At 33.3% G+C, this 25,463-nt stretch overlaps 1 long non-coding RNA gene across 1 annotated transcript in view; it reads right to left on the reverse strand.

Annotated features, from left to right (window-relative positions):
* Positions 1-25,463, reverse strand: part of LINC00559 (long intergenic non-protein coding RNA 559) — a 59,471-nt gene that overhangs the window by 13,693 nt on the left and 20,315 nt on the right. The window contains exon 4 of the long non-coding RNA NR_047489.1: positions 5,188-5,323. This is a non-coding gene — a long non-coding RNA (long intergenic non-protein coding RNA 559). The remainder of the gene's footprint in view (positions 1-5,187; positions 5,324-25,463) is intronic.

The following is a 25,463-nucleotide window of genomic DNA, read 5'->3' on the forward strand; positions in this document are numbered from 1 at the left end:
GATCATAGGCATGCATCACCATACCTGGCTATTTTTTGTATTTTTAGCAGAGATTGGGTTTTGCCATTTAGGCCAGGTTGGTCTCGAACCTCTGACCTCAGGTGATCCTCCTGCCTGGGCCTCCTAAAGGGCTGGGATTACAGGCATGAGCCACCGTGTGCTCAGCCTGGAGGAAATATTTTTAAAGTGGTTGTTTTTTATGGTAGTCGTATATTATGAAATGAATTTTTGTTTGTTATAGAATACATATAATAAGTATCTATCTGTTAAACATATTTTTAAGGCATGAGCATGCCCCATTTTCTAAAGACAAATAATCTCTTTTAAGGGATACAAACATTTTTTACAGTGTTACAAATATTTTAATAAATTATTATCTGTTCTAAAGCAGAAGAGCTATGCTACATGTTTATGACTTGGTAAATAAGACTGGTATATAAGACTTATTCCATGATGCATATATATGTTTTGGGTAATTACTAAAATACAATTGTAATTATCTACTCTCTGTTCACATAAAAAATTGACCTTCCTTAAGAAGAAGTTACAAGTTATGTCACTTTATTTCAAAGTAACTACACCATAGAGAGTCTGTCTTTAAATCAAATGAGGTTTCAGGATGTCCAGTGTCACAAGATAGAAAGTAGAGAGATTGATTAGTAAACCTAGGCCCTTCCAGTTCCTGAAGATACTCTGACATGCTGCCTTCTCTGCAATGCACTCCCAGCACAGAACACATCACTTGAAAAGCTTGTATTGTAGGATGAATTCTTATTAAATTTTATCCTGGGAACACACTGCTCATACATAGCACTCTTAACTTGGAAAGATCATGATTGTTTATAATTGCTGTTTTTGCCATTAAAAGTAATGGGTACCAAGTGGTATATAGAGGAATTTTTAAAAGAAAACTGAAGGAGTCATAGAATTACATATTCTTTAAAAAGAACAGTTACCTCAATACTTACTATTAATAAAGGCAATTCAAATTTTAGCACACTTCATAGGGTATTTATAAGAAACAACTTAGGGTCTGATATTCATATTTTGTAGAAGAAAACAAGGCTATAAAAATATTTGAAAAACTAATTTGCAATGTTATTAAGGGAGAGAATAAGAATTCTAATGTTACTATTTTGCATACAAACCTGATGTTTGTTCCAGTATACTAGAGGAAAAATGGCTGTTTGAAATGACAGGCCAGTTAATAAGAATGAAAAGTTGATAGGAAAGAAAATTAGATTCATGCTAGATTTTTATGGGTAACATCCAATATACAATAAAATTTTTATTTTGTTTAAATTGATGTTTCACTAACAATTTTTAAATTATATTTAGGAGGGATGGGTTAAGATATCGCCTGGATTTGAACTTAATTTATCTATATAAAAGATGAAAAATTATCTGCATTATTTTCAGCGTCAAAGATAATGTGAGCTCAGTATAAAGTACCTTACCCAAAAATCTGTAAAATAATTCTGCCTTCCATATATACTACTGCCTCTCTTTAATGAAGTATTGGAGACCTCTTGTTTTCTATAAATTTAAATTTGTCAAGGTAACAATTTTATCCCTGAGGTTATTTTTGTATTCTCCTTCTATTCTTAAAAGATACATTGTTTTTTTTTTTTCTCTCCACCATTCCCTGTGTCCTTTCTTGGTTGTTATAATAATTCAAGCACTGGTATAAGGACATGAGCTAAGAGCGTGAGCATGGTGAAATTACTCTCTATGTAATGCACAATTCAGTCTATTTGATCATGAAAAACAATATGGAATAGAAACCCCATGCTGTCAGTCTCCACCACTCCTCATGTCACTTTTCTGTTTGCTGTCTGAACTATGGTGATGAATGGTAGCTAGAGACTTGAGGTATTATTAATTTTCTCTACAGTTTTCTATTTTCTTTGTCATTTATTTCTGCTCTAATCTTTATTATTTAACTTATTCTACTTATTCTGTTTAGTTTGCTCTTATTTTTTCATTGTCCTAGGCAGAAGTTATTGCTATTGATTTGAGGTATTTTTGATTGATATGTGTTTATAGCTATCAACTTTTCTCTGAACAACGTATTAGCTTCCACTTATAAGTTTGAGTATATTGTCTTTTTGTTTTAGTTAACATCAAAGTATTTTCCATTTCCTCTTCTGATTTTCTTTATCCAGTAGTTATTCAGTAGTAGGTTGTGTTTAATTGTCACATATTTTTGAGTTTCCCAAATTTATTTTTGTTATTAATTCAAATTTTATTTCATTGTGGTTAAAGAGCATGCTTTACATAATTTTCATTATTTTAAATTTATTGAGTTGTGTTTTATGGCCTAGTGTATGGTCTGCTTATGAGAATATTCCATATGCACATCAGAAAAAAAGCCATTAATCTGTTTTGGGATACTGTTCTACAAATATTTTTAGATGTAGTTGATTCATAGTATTATTCAAATGTCTTATCTTCTTGTTGATCTCTGTTTAGTTGATCTATCTATTACTGAAAATTGAGTATAGACATCACCAGCAGTTATTGTTGAATTGGATATTTCCACCACCAATTAATTCTGTCAGGTTTTGCTTCATGTATTTGCGGGGATTGTGTTGTTAAGAACATATATGTTTATCATTGTTACGTCTTTTTAATGGATTGATTCTTTAATTATTCTAAAATATCTTTGTTTATATTTCCATTCACCTTTTTTAAAGTTTATTTTGTTTGGCATTAGTGTAGTTACTCTAACATTTTTATTGTTACAGTTTGCCTCATACATCCTTTTTTCCATCTTAATTATTTAACCATTTGTATCTGTGAATATAGAATGTGTTTCTTGTATACATCATGTTGAATCTTTTTAAAAATTTATTTTACAATCTCTGCCTTTTAACTGTATTTTTAAATTCATTCCCATTTAATATTTCAATGGATATCATTTAAAACATATGCCATTTTATGTTTTGTTTTCTATCTCATCTATTCATTTTTATTCCTCAATTGCTCCTTTACTGCATCCTCTTGAACTCAGTGAATTTTCTTGTGTATCATTTAATTTATTTAATTGCTATTTTTGCTATTGTGGGGGTTATATTATTTTTAAAACATTTTATTAATATATGATTGACATACAAAAAGCTTTTTGTATTTAATGTATCATTAAATATATTTTAAAGGCTCATAAGTTTATGAGTTTGTAGATAAGTACATATCTGTGAAACCACTATTAAAATCTATTCTAAAAACATATCCATCACCTTCAAAAGTTCCCTTTCATCCTTCTTATTTTTATTTTGAGGAGGAATTATACTCTTTTTTAAAAATTTTAATTTAGGCCGGGCACAGTGGCTCACGCCTGTAATCCCAGCACTTTGGAGGCTGAGGCAGGCGGATCATGAGGTCAGGAGATCGAGACCATTCTGGCTAACACGGTGAAACCCCGTCTCTATTAAAAATACAAAAAATTAGCCAGGCGTGGTGGCGGGTGCCTGTAGTCCCAGCTACTTAGGAGGCTGAGGCAGGAAAATGGCGTGAGCCTGAGAGGCAGAGCTTGCAGTGAGCCGAGATCACACCACTGCACTCCAGCCTGGGCAACAGAGCGAGACTCCGTCTCAAAAAAAAAAAATTAATTTTATTTTAAGTTCTGGAATACATGTGGAGGACATGCAGGCATGTTACATAGGTAAACATGTGCCATAGTGATTGGCTGCACTTATCAATCCATCACCTAGGTATATTAAGCCCCACATGCATTAACTATTTATCGTGATGCTCTCCCTCCCCCAGTCCACTGACCCTCTGATAGGCCCCAGAGTGTGTTGTTCCTCTCCCTGCGTCCATGTATTCTCATTGTCCGGCCTCTACTTATAAGTGAGAACATGCTGTGTTTGGTTTTCTGTTCCTGCATTAGTTTGCTGAGGATAAGGGCTTCCAGCTCCATCCATGTCCCTGCAAAGGACATGATCTTACTCTTTTTTGTGGCTGCACAGTATTACATGGTGTATATGTATCACATTTTTTTTTTTTTTTTTTGAGAGGGAGTCTCGCTCTGTCACCCAGACTTGAGTGCAGTGGCGTGATCTCGGCTCACTGCAAGCTCCACCTCCCGGGTTCATGCCATTCTCCTGCCTCAGCCTCCCTAGTAGTTGGGACTACAGGCGCCCGCTACCACGCCTGGCTAATTTTTTTGTATTTTTAGTAGAGACGGGGTTTCACCGTATTAGCCAGGATGGTCTCGATCTCCTGACCCCGTGATCCGCCCGCCTCGGCCTCCCAAAGTGCTGGGATTACGAGCGTCAGCCACCACGCGGGGCCGTGTACCATATTTTTTAATCCAGTCTATCATTGGTGGGCATTTGGGTTGATTCCATGTCTTTGCTATTGTGAATAATGCTGCAATGAATATATGTGCATGTATCTTGTATAATAGAATGATTTATATTCCCTTGGGTATATACCCAGTAATGGGATTGCGGGTCAAATGGTATTTCTGGTTCCAGGTTTTTGAGGAATCACCACACTGTCTTGCACAGTGGTGAACTAATTGTCGTTCCTATCAACAGTGTAAAAGCATTTCTATTTCTCCACAGCCTCTCCAGCATCTGTTCTTTCTTGACTTTTTAATAATTGCCTCTTAATATTTGTTTTAAAGTTTACTATATACATAATTTTCTTATTAGACTCTATTTGAGATTTATACTAACTTATAGCTATAAATGGTTAATGTAACTATTACTCCTGTATAGATATATTCTCCTTTCCCCCTTTTATCTATTATTTTTATACACATTACATCTATATGTTTTACAAACTCAACAATATTATTTGTAATTGTAAATCTGTACTTTATGCCTTTTAAAGATCTCATAAGGATAAAGTAGAATAAGTATATATTTATAAAGTTTGTTACATAAACCTTATTTACTATCTGGCTAATTTATTGTTTTGGTTCCTATGGATCTGAGTTGTTATCTAATGTCATTTTATTACTCCAATACGGTTTTGTTCCCCACTTCTTGTGTTATATTTTAAAAATATATTACGTTTTCATATGTTACAGACCTAACAGTGCAACAATATACATATTATTTTATACAACTTTGTTTTCTGCCAGTTTTTTCCTTACCTGTTTTTCACCTTTTCTTACCATCATCTACTCAATTATTCAGGACTTTTGATTGGAAGTTAGCTTTTTCTGTTCCTCACCTGTAGACTATTAGCAAGTCCTGTAAGTTCTACTTTTCAACTACATATCAAGCCAGGCAACTTCTCTTCAACGCCATTCCCATCACCCTGGTCATGTCTCCATCATCTGTGACATTTGCCTCAGCCTCCATCCAGCCTAAATGATATTTTAGAAAGTTATGATAACAAATAGATTACATAAAATTTACCATATTAACAATTTCCCTCTGGATAGTTCTGTAATGATAAGTACATTTATATTATTGTTAACAAGAATCTAGAAAATTTCATCTCACAGTGCTGAAACCCTATACAAATAAACAATCCCGATTTCCCAATCTTCATAGCTCCTAACAACCATCACTATACTCTGTCTCCAGGAGTCTATTTTAGTTACCTCACAGAAGTGAGATTATGTAGAATTTGTTTTTTTTGATTGGCGTGTTTCACTTAGCAAATGTGTTCAAGGTTCATTTATGTTGTTGCATGTGTCAGAATTATTTTTCCTTTTAAACACTGAATAACCAATGCAAGTGATATACCAAATTTTCTTTATTTATTATTCTGTTAATGTCTGTTAATGGACACTTAAGTTGCTTCTACGTTGACCAATGTGAATATTCCTGTTAGAAAACTGGATGTAAAAATATATTTTCAAGATCATGCTTTCAATTTTTTAGATATATACCTAGAAGTATAAATGCAAGGTCATATTGTAACTTTATTTTTAATTTGTTTTAGGAATCTCTGTTCTATTTTTCATAATGGCTGCACCATTTTACATTTCAATCAGCAGTACACAAGGATCCGATTCCTCCAGTGCTCTTGCAAACATTTGCTATTTTCTGTTTTGTTTTATTTTGTTTTTATAGTGGCCATTTCAATGAGCATGAAGTGATACCCAATTTTAATTTTGATTTGCATTTCTCTAATGATTAGTAATATTGATCAGCAGTTCATATGCTTGTTAGTAATTTGCATAACCTCTTTGGTAAACTATTTATTCAAGACATTTAGCCTTTTAAATTTTTTTTCACATTTTCTCATTGTTGTCGAGCTATAGGAATCATGTATATATTCTGAATATTAATTCCTTATCATATATGATACAAAATATTTTTCTCATTATATAGGTTGTGATTTTAATTTTAGGTATATCTTTTGATGCACAGAAGTTTCAAGTTTAATGTGGTACCATTTGTTTATTTTTGCCTATATTGTCTATGATTTTGGTGTCAAATAAACAAATAATAGTTGGTAGAGTGAATTTTCCTTCAGCTTTCCCCTGTAATCTCTTCTAGTAGTTTTATAGTTTCAGTTTTTACATGTAGGGTTTTAATTGATTTTGACATGAATTAATTTTTTTATATTATGTAATTCAATGTTCCAACTTCTTTATTTTACATGTGAATATTCAGTTTCTCAACAACATTTGTGAGAGAGACTGTCTGTTTCCCATTTTGCGGACTTGGGTCATTACCATATATGGAGGGGGTCATTTCTTAGGCTCTATACAATTGCTTTTGAATCAGCCAAGAGGAGAAGACATAAGTGTTTTCATGCTGTCATTAGTAAGCGCACAATTACCTTCACCAGCATTCTTTTTTTTTTTTTGAGGTAGAGTCTCGCTTTGTCGCCCAGGCTGGAGTGCAGTGGCGCGATCTCGTCTCGCTGCAAGCTCCACCTCCCGGGTTCACGCCATTCTCCTGCCTCAGCCTCCCGAGTAGCTGGGACTACAGGCGCCCGCCACCACGCCAAGCTAACTATTTTTAATAGAGATGGGGTTTCACTGTGTTAGCCAGGATGGTCTCGATCTCCTGACCTTGTGATCCACCCGCCTCGGCCTCCCAAAGTGCTGGGATTACAGGCGTGAGCCACCGCGCCCGGCCACCTTCACCAGCATTCTTGGGTGGGTGTCTCTCTGTGTGTGTGTGTGTGTGTGTGTGTGTGTGTGTGTGTGTGTGTGTATTTGAATACTGTTTAGGGTCACTTGGTTTTATCCTTATAAATTAAAAAAATTTATTTTGTAAGGAGAGTCTGGTAGCAACACATTCTCTAAATTATTTTCCCTGTGAATTTTCTAATTTTGATTAATTTAAAAATAGATTTGGTGGATATAAAATTCTTAGTTAACAGCCACTGTCTACTGGCTCCAGCAGGTGTCAACAGTCAGCTGTTAATTTTATCATTGATTCCTTTTACTTGCATTCTTTTATACTTGTTGCTTTTGAGTTTAACAGTTTATGATGTATCTGATAGTGATTCACTTTGCACATACAGTCAGTCCCCAATATACAATGGTTCAACTTTTGATTTTTTACATTTGTGTTGGGTTTTCTGGAACTAATCTCATCATATATTGAGAAACATATGGACTTACAATGATTTGACTTAAAACATTTTTGAATTATGATGGGTTTATCATGACATAACCTCATTGTAAGTCAAGAAGCATCAATATTCTACTTTAATGCAATTTAGTTTCTTGAATGTGAATATTAATGTTTGTATTTCCAGGAGTTCCATTAATTATTTTGTTTTACAAATAACTGAAATTCCGGAAATGCAATACATATAAACTTTATAGTTTACCATGTGAATTTATAGTACTGTTAAATAAATACTATAAATGCTGTTAATACAAAAGCCAGAAGTTAAGAAAGTGTAAACAAGTAGAAAAGAAAGATACTAAGAAAATACAAAAAGGCAGAGTGATTGAGAAGAAAGAAAAACAGCTGATTAAATATGAGAAAATCCAATCAACGCTGTGTAGACACATTCACTTATGCATACTCATGAATGAACAAGGGTCAGAACATGACCCTAGTGTGGACTTGATGGTAATACCAAAAAATTTGGGTCATATTAGTAGATATAGTTAAGATGTATTAAAAGATTTACAATGTGTGTGGTGTCAGCTGTATGAAATGGATTTTCACATTTAATTCTTACCTTAATGTATTGAGGTAGGCATTCTGCTAATCTCATGTTAAAGATAAAGAAACTCTGTGGTTACCATGAGTTTTAGTTAAATAACTTATAGTTTATAATAGACTATTTTTACCTTATAGCAATTTAAATCAAACTATATAAAATTACTGTATATTTTTACTCCACCCCTCTATATTTTACACTTTTGATGTACAATTTACACCATTGTATATGATATAGACCTTAACAAATTATTCTAGTTGTTATTATTTTCAATAGTTTTGTCTTTTGACCTTCATACTAAAGATATAAGTGATGTGGACACCACCATTACAGTATTAGAATATTCTGAATTTGACGATGTATTTAATTTTACCAGTGAGTTTTTTACTTTCCTATATTTTTATGTTACTCATTCACATCATTATCTTTCAGTTTGAAGAACTCCCTTTAACATTTCTTTTGAAATAGGTCTACTGCTGATGAGCTCCATCAGGTTTTGTTAATCTGGGAAAGTTTTTATTTCTTTTTCATTTCTGGAAAACAGATTTGCTGGAAACAGCATTCTTGATCGATAATTTTCCCCCTTCAGAATTCTGAATATATTATCCTTCTCTCTCATGGCCTGAAAGGATTCTGCCGAGAAATTCACTACTAGCCTTATTAGAACTCCCTTATACGTGTTTTGCTTCTTTTCTTCTGCTTTTTTCAGTATCTTATCTTTCATGAAAGCTCGAAATGTTTTTATTACACTCATAAAAAACGATAAGTTCGTAAGGTAATGTGTAGCTTAAATAGCTTGCTTTAGCCATTCCACAATGTATACATACAAGAGAAAATCATGCTACACACCACAAATATACACAATGTTTACTGTTCACTTAATAGTTTTATTAAAAAGATAAAGAGACTGAGGAATTACATTCAAGTCAATATCTTTCACTACAAGAAGACCTGACTTGAAGAAAAGTGTCTATCTCCAAAGTCTGTGTTTAACCTACCATATAAACCTTGAACATAAAAGTTACAAGTATTTACTACAATGTTGAAATGGCTCTTTTGATGACGGCTTTTAATAAATTAAAACGGAATTGTCTATTACAAGTTAGTCTTAAAAGTAGCAATGGTAACACCTTATGAGAAGGAAAGACTAGATAGGAATTACTTGGAAATTTCTATGATGTCAACCTCAAACCATATTCCTAAAAGGAATTGGTAGATTTCTCTGAGTTGTATTGCAATATAGGAAATTATCAAGTATACATAAACTCTTATTAGAAAACTTGTGCGGAATTAAAACTCTACTGGGACACTAAAGTCTTTCAGAATTCTGCAAATAATTGTGTTAACCTGAAGCCTGGAGACCATAGCTAAGGTTGGGCAAAGTACAACAACTGTGAATTTAATCTTCACTTCTTTAGTTTGTTAATGTATTGAGAAAAAATGTTTTAATCAACTGTGAGACTCAACAAGTACTGATACAAAACAAAAATACTTTTAAACATAAGGTCATTTTATTACAATCTTCCAGTTCTCCTCATTGGTAGAAAATAATATTCTCACAAGTGAAGCATATATAAGAAATGGACAAAAGAAAAGTGTACCAAAATGGAATTTATGTAGAAATTCTATTTATGCAGTGAAAATAGTCTCCAAGGAGCTATGACATTTAAGAAATTTATTCAAGCATTTCATCATCTCAAATGTGATGAGTGGCAAACAAAAAAAATACAAAGCAAACTTATTCAAGAAATAATGTTAGTCCATTTTTTTAGAAAGAATGTGTTGAAGTGAGACATAAACAATTTTTAAAAATTGCTGGCACAGCTAAGAGTCAATTGAAGATTATACTTAGTATTCCATTGACATTTTCTTAAATGTTTATATAGTTAGTGATATCGGAAGGTGTCTATTTTGTGATAATTTTTCAGAAAGCACCATGTGAGATGGAACTTAGACATGAGTGTTAAGTGCGGGTAAAATTGTAGAGCAGCTAGAACTTTCTAATATTCTTGGTGAGGTGGTATAACTTCTTCGGAAAACACTGTGGCAGCTACTTAGCAAGTTAAGATGACTTTTGTCTTGAGACCCAGTGACTTTGTTCTTTGCTGTTTACCCTAAGGAAATGAAGATGTGTTTGTGAACTAAACTGTAAATATTTATAATAGAATTATTCCCGGTAATTAGAACCTGAAAATAATGCAAATGTATAACCTTCAAACAGCAAATACTTAAGCTTTGAGGTAACTATACATTGGAATATTGGTTAGGAATTCAAATGATCAAATTACTGATTTAAAAAAACCCACAACATCAATAAATATGAAATGCTTTATGCTAAGCAACAAAAAGCAGATCCAAAAGGTTACATGTTCTATTATTGCATTTTCAAGATAACTCGGAAAAAGTAAAACTGTATGTATGGAGAATAGGTCAATAATTTCCAGGAATTAGGGGTTGGGAGAGCATGTAACTACAAAAGAGAAAAACAAAAATTCAGTTCAGGGTGAGTGAACTGTTTTGTATCTTGATTGTGGTTGTGTTACATGACCTATGCAGTTGTTAAAACTCATAAAACTGTACCCCCCAAAAGTCAATTTACAAAGATGGGTAGATATATAGATATAGATATAGATATAGATATAGATATAGATATAGATATAGGTATAGATATAGGTATAGATATAGATATAGATAGATATAGATGATATCGATATAGATAGTATAGATAAACCTCTATCTACCTACATCTATATCTATATCTATCTATAGATAAACCTCTATATATGTATCTATCTATCATCTATCTATCTATATCTCTATCTCTCTATCTATCTATCTGAATGAATGAATAAATTTAATGCATGTGTCTCTGGGCACTCTAAAGCTGAGAAACAAGAGAAGAAACCATCAAGGCAATCTGAGAAAAAGCAACCAGTGGGAGAGGAGCAAAATCAAGAGTGTAATGTCTTGGAAGTCAAGTGAAGAAAGAAGTAGGAAATGAATAACTATGTCATACATTCCTGGTATATTATGTAAGATGAGGATTGAGAACCATTAGATTTAGCCATATGGATGTCATTAACATGACAAGAGCATTTTGGTGGATTTTTGGGGCAAAGGCCTGACTGCAGAGATTTTAAAATAGAATTAGAGTAGAGGCATTGTAAACAAGCATAGATTTTTGTTTATGCTTTATGCTTGGGGATAATACCAGCATCTTTGAATACTGATTGCAATGATGTGTTGTAGAGGAGAACATAGTAATGTATGAGAAGTGAGAAGAAATTTTGTAATTAGCTTTTATGCAGAGCAGAGAGAATGTTGTAAGTGGATAAATGGCCTATAAATAGAAGCAGATTTTTCTCAATTTTATTCATTGTAAAATGTCTCTACTTGTTTCTTACTTTAATATGTCATGTTTAAATTTATTGTACAATTGATGGTGTGTTATAGTATAATTGACAATATTTTATTTTATTTCCTTAAGTGACATACAATAAGACTATCTTATAAATTGTGTGTGTTGGATTTTCTAAAATATGACATTTTATCTATAAAATAGAAGAGCATAGATGCTGCTAGGTTATTAGATGTAGTGGTGGGACTCTATAGACATTCATTTTTAATTGCTTTAATTTTCTAAGTAAAGATTAATGTAAGGCCATCAGGTGAAAACATGGACGGAAGATAATACCTTGGAAATGTAAAGAGAAAGTAGAATGCTTGGGAGTTTTCTAAGGGATAGGAAAAATTAAATGGACTAGGAAAATACATTATGTTTTCTTAACAAAAGCAGATGTATCATTTTAAATTTATCATTATAAATGTAAAGCGAGACTTCCCAGTAAAGTTGTGTGTTATTCTCTAGCCACATTCAAGTTCAATGGAATAGTTACAGAAGGGATGAAGAGTTGATTTAAATAGCATTAGTATTTTTCCAAACAAGTAGGAAAACCTAACAGAAATCAAGTTGTTTTAGACTGTATGTAAGGGAATGTTTTAAGGATTGGCCATAGACCATAACTCAAGTAAGTAGGAAAAAGTAAGTAGGAAAAAGAAAAACTACAGACAGAAAGCTACCATGAAAATCTAGCAGTATCAAAGGTCGTCCAAAACAAAAGAAGGTAGCAGTCAGAGAGCAGGGCACAGAAGTTAATGCTATCAGGAGGTTTCATTTATTGGTAAAGCTAAAGTTTGAATGGAAATGAAACTGAGGTATGGCTGACGACAATATTATTGAAGTAAAACATCGCAAAGTACTGAAAGGCCCATGAGTTGTCCATCAACATTTATTTAAATTACCGAGAATTAGAAATAATTCTATGGAAAAAGTGACAGTAAAGCACTTGTTAAAATCAGTAAAAAAAGAAAAAAAAAAGTATAACCTGGGATAAGTGGCTGACTGAAACAGTTCATATATAAATTGATAATGTGAGGATTAAAGTTGAATGTGATGGCTTAAGCATCAACTTCATTGGGCTAAGGAATGCCCACATAGAAGGTAAAACATTTTGGGTGTGTCTGTGAGGGTGTTTCTGAAGAGATTAACATTTGCATCAGTAGACTGAATAAAGAAGTTCCATCCTTACCATCTCACAATAGACTGGCATCATCCAATCTATTGAAGGCTCAAATAGATCAAAAAGGTGGAGAAAGAACAAATAACCTCTCTCTTATCTAGGACATTCATCTTTTCCTACGCTCAGATTTTGGAACTCCTGGTTCTCAGGCCCTCAGTCTTGGACTGAATTACAACCCTGGTGTTTCTAGTTCTCCAGCTTATAGATGGCAGGTTGTGGGATTTCTGGGCCTTCATAACACATGAGCCAATTCCTTTATCCCTCATTGGTCCTACTTCTCTAGATAATCCTGACTAATACTCTGAGGATCTGGCTGTGTGAGGATAAAACTATAAAAGTGGCAATGTGAATCACAGAGGTTACCTATGGGCAAAGAAAAACTGCACTCGACAAGATGAGTAAACAGAAATTGATTTTATTATGATACTATTAGCAGCAATAGGAGGGAGAGCAGAAAAGGGATAAGAGATCCAAGAGCTGAGGTGGAGAGATTCTGGCCATCTGTGCTAATTAATTGGTTTTACTAAAAGGAAAAGTAAAATTTGTTTTATGAGAGGAGGTGATTTTACCACTTGGATCAAGGCACCCACCAAAGTTTGGCTCCTACTTTACCATGGAGACAGGGAACCCGTCTTCCTTCAAGTTTACCCTTCAAAATAATGGCCCCTAGTACTTTGAGAAAGACAATTCTGGATAGTAAATCTGGCAAGAGGTTTTTACATCACAAAGGCCAGAAACAGTTTGCAATTACAAGTTTTCTAAAGTAAATGATTTAAGAAAAGAGAAAACTTATCCAAAATTTTGTCAAGATGAGGGGAATGTTAAAGACCTCTTGATCACTGCTCCATTTTCATGCCTAAATACATCCATGTGTTACCATAGGGCAAAAGCAACAGAGGCTGAATAGGAAACAGAGTCCCTGTGGAATCTAGATTTTTTTAAAAAACGAAAACAATCAATGAAATATAAGAGGTTGAGGATTGGTATGGTTTGGATGTGGTTTGTTTCCACCAAACTCATGCTGAAATTTAATTGCCAGTATGATCGTGTTGGGAGGTGGGGCCTAGTGGGAAGTGTTGGGTTATGAAGGCAGATGCCTTAGAAACAGATTAATAGATTAATGCCATCTTGTGGGAGTGGGTGGGTTGTCACTCCTACTCTGATAGACTGGATTAGTTAATACAAGATAGGTTGTTATAAAGGGAGCCAGCCTGCTGTATTTGGACTCTGCATGTGCTCACGTCTGCTTCTCTGCCCTGTTATAACCAAGCTGGAGTCCCTCACCTGATCTTGAGCTTCTCGGTCTTCAGAACCATGTGCTAAATAAACCCCTCTTTTCTTTATAAATTACCCAGTCTCAAGTATTCTGTTATAGCAACAACAATACAAAATACACGTTAAGATATGGATACTGAAAATTTTGCTGCTGATGAACCATGAAATTCAGAGAGCCCAGCGAAAAGGATCAGGACAGAGGAATGATAACTGGTAGTGAGAAATAAGAGGTGGTAAAGGGGGGGGGGTGGAGTATAGGAAATAATAGCTGATTCAAGAGTCTGAGGCCTCCTGTGGAACTGAGAGGTAAGAGATACGAGACTGGGTAATGACTTATATATCTGTAAATAAGGCATCATGAGATCAACCCTGGCAAATACAAGGCAAATAGAGGTGATAAGGATGTAATTGATGGGATATAGGGGAGAATATGTTTCTGGGGTCCATGCTGATGCCTAGTGATGGGGTTAAGGATACTGGCAAACTATATATTGCCCAAATGTGGAACCCAATCGTCCCCTGTAGATGTAAGACAGAAAGTTTGCAACACTGTGGTTTTAATATTTGTGCCAGGGGCTGTATCATAACCACTGTAAGGGGGAAGACAGGCCTTCTGTAATCGAGTGAGCTGTCCTTCGACTTCTCTTGAGGATGTGTGAATGACTGAGTAAACTGGGATGAAGCCAGATTATTTTCATTGAGAAGAAAGAAGCCAAGAGATTAAAGTGCTGTGATTGTTCCTGAATTCAACTAAAACCATTATTTATATTTCATATACTGGATTGCTAAAGTTTAATTAGAACAAAAGATGCTCTTCTAATTACTTTGCATTTTATAAAACTTCTTTATCAGTGAATAAATTGAAAATCAGATAAACCAAGCTTATTCCCAAAATACATGAAGCAAGTTAGAGGTTGAATAGAGAGAGAAAAGTTTATCCAATAACTAGTAAATATGTTTTCAACCACTATTTATGCTTAATATGCCGAGCATCCTGTGCAGTCTAAAAATACAAGGGAAATGAGACATTCTTGTTTCTCAGCTCATGGAGTTATGGGCATATGAATGAACACGTCAGTGAGGTTTAAATTATAGCCTGATACCCAGTGCTTATTGATCCTAATTTATTAGAAATAGTTGTCTACAAATTGTGCATAAAACAATCTGTAGATATTTAATAGTATTTTTTAAGAGAAATGTTATTGTAACTAAAGGTTATTACCCTAGTCAAGAATGAAACATCTTACGTATCGGCAAACTATGTAATAAAGACAAATATTTAATAACCATAGATTATCGTTATTTTAATAAACTAGTAAAATTAATTTAGCTCCAAATAAAAGAAAGAAAGAAAAAGTATAGTGTCAGCACAATAAAACAAGTGGGCTGAAAGTGCAATTATTGTATGTGTAGTCTGTATATGGTCACATAAATTTCATTTACAAAAATGTATTTACCTATAATAAAAATTTGAAAGTGATATGAAGATAAATTTAATGACCTATTAAAAAGTTAACCATGGATATACATCAACCACCATGATAAACAATAACAGCCAAACTTTCAAAGGACAAAATATTCAAAATTAAGTAATTGAAAATAAATTATACACACACACACACACACACACACACACACACGTATTCCGCTGGGTAAAATAGTGTGCAATGATAAAAGTTGTTCTTAAGGCATTACTAAGTCAGATATGGTAGTTTACTAAACATCTATGATTTCATCTGGGAAGTATGAAAAAGGCATATAAATAATGTTCGTGTATTTGTGAGGGAATCATTCACAAATTGTGAATCTAAATATAATTAAAATGTAAATACACATGTCCTTTCAGGGAACTGAGTATGTGCAAGAGCTATGCCAGGTGTCTTGGTCTACATTTTGTTGCTATAACACGATACCTGAGACTGGGTAATTCATAAAAGAAAGAGGATTATTTAGCTCAAATTCTGCTGGCTGGAAGGTCTAAGACCTGGCAGCCTTACCTGGTTGGCTTCTGGTGAGAGCCTTATGCTGGGTCATAATGCTGTAGAGAAGCTCATGAGGAAGCAGGCAGGTGCAAGGAGAACAACTAGGAGAGGCAGCCTCACTTTATAATAAACTGCTCTCCTAGTGACTAACTCAGTCCCACCAGAGAGAAAACTCATTCCCATGAAAAAGGCATTAATCTACCTTAATGATCTAATCACCTCTTAAAGGAACCACCTGCCAGTTTTGCCACACTGGGGACCATGAGTTTTGGTGATGCCAAATTGTATTCAAACTATTGCACTAGGTAAATATAATGCACTGCATTGAGCAATAATTTTACTTTTATAAAATGTGAAGACGATGTTAATAATATGCAACTTTACTTGCTGGAGTAGAATTGTGAATCAAAACAATTTTAATTTTTCTTAAACAATAGCTTATTGAACAAAGCTTTTGAAAATTTTGCTGTATAAATGTGATTCACTGATAAGTATTTTTGAAGAATTTTCTTCTTCATTTCACTTTTATGTGCTACTCCTAAAACTGCAAATTAAATTCAAAGTGGCAAAGCCTGAAGCCATATTTTCAGGTAAATACATATTTTTATCAATTTCAAACTATTTCATTGTTTCATTTTTTCTCAAACATTTTTCCACTGGCCTATATTTTGGCTTATATTTTGATAAAATTTGGACAAGAAGTCTCTTCTTCTGAATCAAGAGTTTTGATATAAACAGAGTTTATATTTATGAAGGTATTAATCATAGAAACAGCAAATGTAGATACTTGCTAATCTTACAATTTTATAAGTGTTTAAAGTGAAAATATTTTATGCCACACTTTTTTAGCATGGATGATTTAATCCAAAGACTCAGTATGGTATATATTAGTGATAAACAATTAATAAATAAATGTCAGAGAACTATTTTATTATTGCTTTCTTTTCATAAGTTATGAATGGTGAAAAATATACTTTAGATTCTTTAATGTGACTCTTTAATATCATGTGAATCAAATTCTAAGTTTAAAAATAATTTTTATTATTAATATAACTACTTTTTAATAAAATTTTATTTTTGTAATAGATGGGGTCTCATTATGTTGCCCAGGCTGTCCTCAAACTCTTGGGCTCAAAAAATCCTCCCATTTCAGCCTCCTGAGTAACTGGGACTATAGGCACATGCTATCATAACCAGCCTTAATGAATATAAATACATTTATTAGTCATCTTAAGCAGAGTGGTTATAAAGACTGAGAATAAATTTATTTTGGGGGTCAGTATTTCTGTTTTTCTTCTGATAATTCAATTTTGCATTCAATTATGATGCAATGTGATTTAACATTAAAAGTTAATACAAGTAAACTTTATAAAATTATTAATATCAGGACAATAATAACTTAGGATTATACATTTTAAAACAATGATAATGTATAAGGAAAGAGGTGTCTTACTTAATGTTATTATAGTTATTTTATGTTCAATATAAGTATAATAACAAATTTACACAAATCCTATCATTGAGATTTACTCATGATTTGAGTTAGAGCATATGTTATCTTACTTTTGTTTATTATCTAATAGTTCTTGATTTTTAAGATGATTTTAAGGCTTCTTAATGCAATTTCAAATAAACACATAACAAAACTTATATGTGCAAGGCATACTTGAAAGTTGTGTTTTCATAGTTAAAGCAATGTGTGTATTGAGATTTAGGATTGACTTTTCTTAAGAATGTATTAATTCGTTTTCACACTACTATAAAGAAATACCTGAGACTGGGTAATTTATAAAGAAAAGAGATTTTTGGCTCTTTGTTCCACAGGCTGTAAAGGAAGCATGGCTGGAGAGGCCTTGAGAAACTTTCAGTCATAATGAAAAGGGAAGCAGGCACGTCTTATGTGGCCAGAGCAGGAGGAAGAGAGTGAAGGAGGAAGTGCCACACACTTTTAAACAACCAAATCTCGTGAGAACTCACTCTCACAAGAACAGCAAAGAGGAAATCTGCCCTCATGATCCAGTCAGCTCCCACCATGACCCTCCTTCAACTTTGGGGATTAAAATTCGGCATGAGATTTGAGCAGGGACACAAATCCAAACCATATCAGAGAAAGAAAAGTATTATAGGATTATTAACTATATTTTTGCCATTCATACGCAATTATTTTTTGTTCCGTTTTATGAGTAAGAACAGTTGGCATACTTAAAAAAATTCATTTTTTCTATGAACAGACATTGCACTAAAGGCATAGTAATGTAGCCACAGTAACAACGACCTTCACACCCTAGTACAATTCTTACCTAGATTAACTCAAATGCTCACAATAAAGATCTATTAGACGGAATCATGGTCATAAGAGCTACTTAACTCATACCTACTGTCCTGAAAAGAATGCCTGGATTTAAGAAAAATTGCAAGGCTTATAAAATGATAAGGAAAACACACTTAAAAGAGACAAAGCAACCATCAAAACCATACTCAGTTATGACAAAGATATAGAAACTGACTAGTATTAATAATGTACTAAATTTTTTGAAATTATTTTGGAAAGGGTGAGCAATATGCAAGTGGATAATTTTATCAGAGATTACAATTATAACAAAGAATGAAAGGGAAATGCTAGACATGTTAAACAGTAAGAGGACTAGAAATATTTGTGATATGCTCATCTGTAAACATGACAAAATTCATAAAAGATTCACTGAACTTAGATCCATAGAAATTATTCAAACAGAAACATAAAGAGAAAAATTAGTGAAAAACTACCAAAAGAGACCATTCAAAAGTCATGCAACATTGTCAATCCATTTAATATACCTAATTTCTTGAAAGTAATGACACAAAACCACAAATACAAGATCAAGGAAAATGAGTCAAATGAATATACAAACTCTGGTACACTCATGTAATGAAATATTGCTTAGCAATAAATAGCATCGATCTATCAATTTTTGTAACATCAGAGTTGAATCATCTTGCAGTCTGATGTTTGAGGGCAGGAAGCATTCAGCACAGGAGAAAGATGGAGGCTGGAAGATTCAGGAAGCCTGCTCTTCCGCCTTCTCCTGCCTGCTTTATTTTAGCTATACTGGCAGCTGATTAAGGGTACCCACTCAGATTGAAGGTGGGTCCGCCTGTCCTAGTCCACTGACTCAAATGTTAATCTCCTTTGGCAACACCTTCATAGACACAATGAGGAACAACACTTTGCATCCTTCAATCCAATCAAGTTGACAATATTAACCATTACAAATCATATATGCATTGTCCTAAGTGAAAGAAGTCAGACTCAGAAGACAACATACTATGTGATTCCTTTATATGAAATGTGAGTAAAAACAAAACAATGGGTATTGAAAAGAAATCTGTTCTTGCCAGGGTCTGGGGAGGAGGGGAGATGGATTTACCATGGAGGGGTATAGCAAAGGAATTTTATGGGTAATATTACATTTCATATGGAATTATAGTTGTGAATATGCAACTAATTTCATTTTTCAAAATCCACAGAAGTGTACTCTACAAAGTGTGAATTTTACTGAATGGAGCATTTAAAAAGATTTATCAGGATGTGGGAAGAAAGAGGAAATGTAGACTGTGATAAATGAATCTAACTCTATTAAAAATAAATCATATAACTACTGAAAGGGATAGGAAAAAAGGAGCTGGCTTGAGTAAATTTTGAAAACAACTTTTCAACTAAATGTTGTAAGGCCAAAGACAACAAAATGAAAAAATTCGTTCTATACACATTGTACTTCATTGGGCAATTTAGTATTCCTCACAGGGATATGCATTAGCGGTTCTGAATCTATACTATTTATATTCCAGGCTTGAAGAAAAAGTTAAATATATTTTAGAAAATAGAAGTCACTGCTGAAGAAAGAGAAAAAAAACATCAGAAAATGGGGAAATACTAGAATAAAGTCTGTGGTGGTAATGGATTGGAGTCAGAAATATCAGTATGAGCAAATGTTATTTTATGTGCATATGTGTATATGTATATATTTAACATTTAACCTGTGTATACATACATATTTAACGTGTGTATCTATATATATATATAACATTCACATACACATATACACTAACATATACATACACATACAGATCAAAGGACATAAATTAATAGGTGACTTAATATATATATTAATATATATTATATACTATATATATATTATATATATATAATATATATATAAATGACTTAATATACATCCACACATTTCCCAGCTTGATCCTTGAGAGGGACTAGAAGCAATGACAGGTCAGTAGCAAAGAACACACCTAGAGTCCAGATGTTGGTTCTTAAAAGTCATTCCTCAGTGAAAAATTCCAAGTTCCTTAGGGGGTCTGATTGATTCCAGGCATGAGGCAGAAAAATACAAAATAATCTTGGAGCAAACGTAGCAATGGAGTGCTAAAAAAGTTAATCATACTTAACCTGGATATCCTCAAAATATGAAACTATGCACATATAAATAAATACTGGATGCAAAAATACATGGAGGAGAAGTAATAACTCTTCCTTACAAAATAATTCTGGTTCATAAATGTAGAATAAAATGCAAAACTACAATTAGAATAACCCAGGAATAATTGCTGCAGGCAAGATCTAATTATGGATGTTAAATTTAGGAGATGACTGTTTAAGCAGAAACAGCGTATTTGCATAGTCTCAAAATATCTCCCCCTTACATTTAATAAATTCCAAGGGGATAAAAAAAACAGTAATTTTATATCCTAGCAGATGCCATGCTAAGCAAGAGATGGATAACAACATTAATAATACATACAGGCATACCATGAAGAAACCATGGATTTGATTCCAAACCACAACAAAAAAGTGAATATCATGAAAGAACAAATCACACGTTTTGTGGTTTCTCAGTGCATATGTAAGTTATGTTTACACTATATTGTAGTCTATTATGTGTGCAATAGCATTATTTCTAAACAGACAATGTACTTGCATTAATTAAAAAGTACTTTATTGCTAAAATTGCTAACAATTATCTGAGCCTTCAGCGAGTTATAATCATTTTGCTGGTTGGGGATCTTGCCTCGATGTTGATGGCTACTGATCAGGGTGGTGGTTGCTGAAGGTGACATTGACAATTTTTAAAAATAAGATGATAAATTTTGCCACATCAGTTGACTATTCCTTCGATGAAAGATTACTTTATAGCATGTGATGCTCTTTGATAGCATTTTCCCAACAGTAGAACTTTCAAAATTGGTGTCAATCCTCTTAAATTCTGCCGCTGCCTTATCGATAAGTTTGTGTAATATTCTAAGTCCTTTGTTGTCATTTCAACAATGTTCACAGCATCTTCATCAGAAGTAGATTTCATCTCAAGAAAACACTTTCTTTGCTCATTCATAAAAAGCAACTTCTCATCCATTCAAGTTGTATCATGAGATTGCACCAATCAAGCTACATCTTCACGCTCCACTTCTAATCTTAGTTCTCTTGAAATTTCTACCACATCTGCGGTTCCTTCTGCCACTGAGCCTTGAACACCTCAATGTCAGCCATGAAAGTTAATCAACTTCTGCCAAATCCTTGTTAATGTTGATATTTTTATCTCCTCCCATGAATTATGAATAATCTTAATGACATCTAGAATGGTGAATCCTTTTCAGAAGGTTTTCAATTTATTTTGTTCAGATCCATCAGAGGGATCATTATCTTTGGCAGCTGTACCTTACAAAATGTATTTCTTATATGAGAATGAAAGCTGAAATTACTTCTTGATCCATGGGCTGCAGAATGGATGCTGCACTAGGAGCCTTGAGAAACAACATTAATCTCCTTGTACACCTCCCTCTGAGTTCCTGGATGATTTAGGTGTATTGTCAATGAGAAGTAATATGTTGAAAGTAATCTTTTTTTCTGAGCATTAGGTCTACACAGTAGGCTTAAAATATTCAGTAAACCATGCTGGAAACAAATGTGCTGTCATCTAGACTTTATCATTTTATTTGTAGAGCACAAGCAGACTAGATTTAGCATAATTCTTAAAAGCGCTAGGATATTTAGAATGGTAAATGAGTATTGGTTTCAACTCAAATTCCCCAGCTGCATTAGCCCCTAACAAGAGCTGCATTAGCCTGTCCTTTGAAGCTTTGAAGCCAAGCATTGACTTCTCCTCTTCAGCTATGAAAGGCCTAGATGCCATCTTCTTCCCATAGAAGGCTGTTTTGTTTACACTGAAAATCTGTTGTTTAGTGTAGACACCTTGATCAGTTAAGTGTAGACACCTTGATCAGTTATCTTAGTTAGATCTTCTGGACAACTTGTTGCAGCTTTTCCATCAGCGCTTACTGCTTCTTCCTGCACGGTAATGTTGTGGAGATGACTTCTTTTCTGAAAGCTCATGAACCAACTTCTGTTAGCTTCCAACTTTTCTTCTGTAGTTTCCTTGCCTCTCTCAGCATTCATAGAATTGAAGATAGTTAGTACCTTGTTCTTAATCACAAAGTCAAAGCCAAATTTGGGGCTTAGGCTTAATGAAATGTTGTGCTTTGTTTGATCTTTTATTCAGGCTGCTGAAACTTTCCCCATATCAACAATAAAACTGTTTCTTATTATCTATGTGTTCACTGGAGTATTACTTTTAATTTCCTTAAATAACTTTTCCTCTGCACTTAAAACTTTTCTAACTGGCACAAGAAGTCTAGCTTTTGGCCTACCTCAGGTTTCAACATGCCATCCTCACTAAGTTTAATCATTTCTAGCTTTTGATTTTAAGTGAAAGATATACAACTCTTCCATTCACTTGAACATTTAAAGGCCATTGTAGACTTATTAGTTGGCCTGATTTCACTATTGTTGTGTCTCAGGGAATAGGTAGAGCCAAGGAGGTGATGAGATGTGAGGGATCTGGGGGTCAGTTGAGTAGTCAAAACAAACATGATTTATTAATTTTATTGTTTTATATGGGCACAATTTGTGGTACCCCAAAATAATTACAATAGTAACATCAAAGATCACTTATCACAGATCAACATAACAAATATAATAATAATAAAACAGTTTGAAATATTTTGATAATTACCAAAATGTGACACAGAAATATGAAGTAAGCCAATGCTGTTGAAAAAATTGTGCCTATAGATTTGTGTGTGCAGGGTTGCCAGAAAACTTGAAAAAAAAACCCCACAATATCTGCAAAGCATGATAAAGCAAAGCACAAGAAAACACAGTGTGCCTGTACAGACATAAGGTATCCCCTGGTCTGAGGCAATGAAAAAAAGGAGAGATAACCTCCATAGTATTCTTACTGATAGTGTATACCATCAATTTAATACAAAGAAAACATTCAGACAAATTCAAACTGAAAGATATTCTATAACTGTCTAGTGTATTTCAAATGTGTGAAGGTCAGGTAAGATAAAATACTGGGGACTGTCAAGATTGGAGAAAACTAAGAAAATTAAATGCAAAGTGTGATTCTGGATTGTATACTAGCACAGAAAAGTATATAATGGAAAAAACACTGGTGAGCTTACAATAAATTCTCTAATTTATTTTATAGTACTATACCAAGAGAAATATCTAAATTTTATGTTGTTATTTCATAAATATCTAGCATGGAACACGTGGGCCTTTGAAGGGTTATATATTCTTATTCTTTTTTCTAAGATTAAAAATACTCTCTGCCATATATTAATAATCAGGTTTCTTAATCTTGCAGACATACACTGTTCTGAAACAGAGCTGTTTCTTTTGGGATAGGCTAAATTTCAATAATTTTTCTGTTGATATGAAAGGTGACAATATAAGAGAAGTTGAATAAAGGTAGATGGAGACTGTCTATGCCAGATTTACAACTGTGTCTAAAAATTATCTCAATATAAAGCGTTTTCAAATGCTTAGTTTTATATTCATCAAAAATATATAAATCTCATTGAACAGGTCAACAGAAACCTAAATGAACAGTTAGTCAAATTAATGATAAATGATAACAATATTACTAAAAATAATAAAACCTAAGGTATAATGATACACAAAATAACAGATTTGAGTAAATAACTGGATTTAAGGAATGAAAAAAACAAAAGAAAACAAAAACCTTTAATAGGCATAGATACTTTGCCAGACATTAAACTGTTTTTCTTTTTTTTTTTTAACTTAAAAGAAAGTGCTGAGTTGTGATAAGTAGATAGCAGTCATTTATTTGGGGAAGATACTATTTAGCGATAACTCCAAACAAACTACCATTTTAAGTATGAAAAAAAGATAAGATATAATGTAAAATTTATTGAGAACAAAAATCTTAATGCTGATTCACAGTGCAGACAGAAATATTTCACTTACAAGGAATCAAAAATTAAGGAAGGAGAAACAACAAAGATGTAAAACTACATCCAGGAATGGTAAATCAAAGTTTCAAATTCATTGCATTGTGAATTCAAAGTATCAAATTGTTTCCCTGTTCCCAGAAAATAGATTATCACCACTTGCTTACAAACACTGATGGATCTGTTTCAGTTTTGAACAAACACTTGGAGTGCAGTTCAATGTACTGTGCAATGTGAAAAGTTAGAAAGCATGATTTGCCATAATGCAACAGCAATTGACAAGAAAAATGTTGAGTGTACTTATTGACATTTTATTTGGTTTAATTTTTAAAAAGGTACCTGCATAGAACTGGACAAAATCTCTTATACAGTGCTAACAGGTGGGCTGTTCTTGTAGGATAGTTGTTTGTTATTGCCTGGAAACAGAATACTAGATACGTAAACAGTCTAGAAATAAAGGGAATCTATCTAAAACCTATACTATAAGTAAAGTGGCTTCACAATTATCAGAGTTTTAGTTTCCGTTGTGAAAAGACTGCAAGCAAGAAATAAATCTAATTAAAATAGAAAAATTATAGCTGACCTAGCAAATTTTTCCATCATTTGTAGAATAACACAAAAAAGTTGGGCTTATCTTTTATGAAAGCATCAAAAAGTCAATGTCAGAATGTATTCTTAAAGTGACACCAGGACACCTGTCCGAATAAAGGGGAAATGATGAGAGTAACATGACTGTGTCTGGTGTTGTCTTGCTTTACTTCTGTTACTTTTGTCCCCTATTTTGTTTATAATCGATTTGTATCAATTGCAATGGTTAGTTCAACAAAATGGGGAAAAATCAATTACAATGGTTAGTTCGTTAAATGAGTCATTTCAAATTTCATTCATTCAAATATCTCAGTATCTAAAGAACACCTGATACTTAGGAAATAGCTAATAAAAAATGTTAAATAAAGGTCAGTTCACTTTTTGGGCATATTTATTTTATACTAACCTTGCTTGAACATTAAAATATTGATTGTAAATTGTCTGTCTAAAATCCAGTGTTGATGCTATCAATGGCTAAAGCTTCTTGTTCCTGCTACTACTATTACTTTGTTTGTATAAATTCCTCCTTTTTGAGTTCCATTTGTGGGCATAAAGCTTTGAAGGCTAATACATTGAAGAAATATATTTTTTAAAAATAGGAAATACAGAACTGATAGTGTTCAGTAAAAATTGG

The sequence above is a fragment of the Homo sapiens genome, chromosome 13, assembly GCF_000001405.40.
Source record: "Homo sapiens chromosome 13, GRCh38.p14 Primary Assembly".
Classification (NCBI taxonomy): Eukaryota; Metazoa; Chordata; class Mammalia; order Primates; family Hominidae; genus Homo; species Homo sapiens.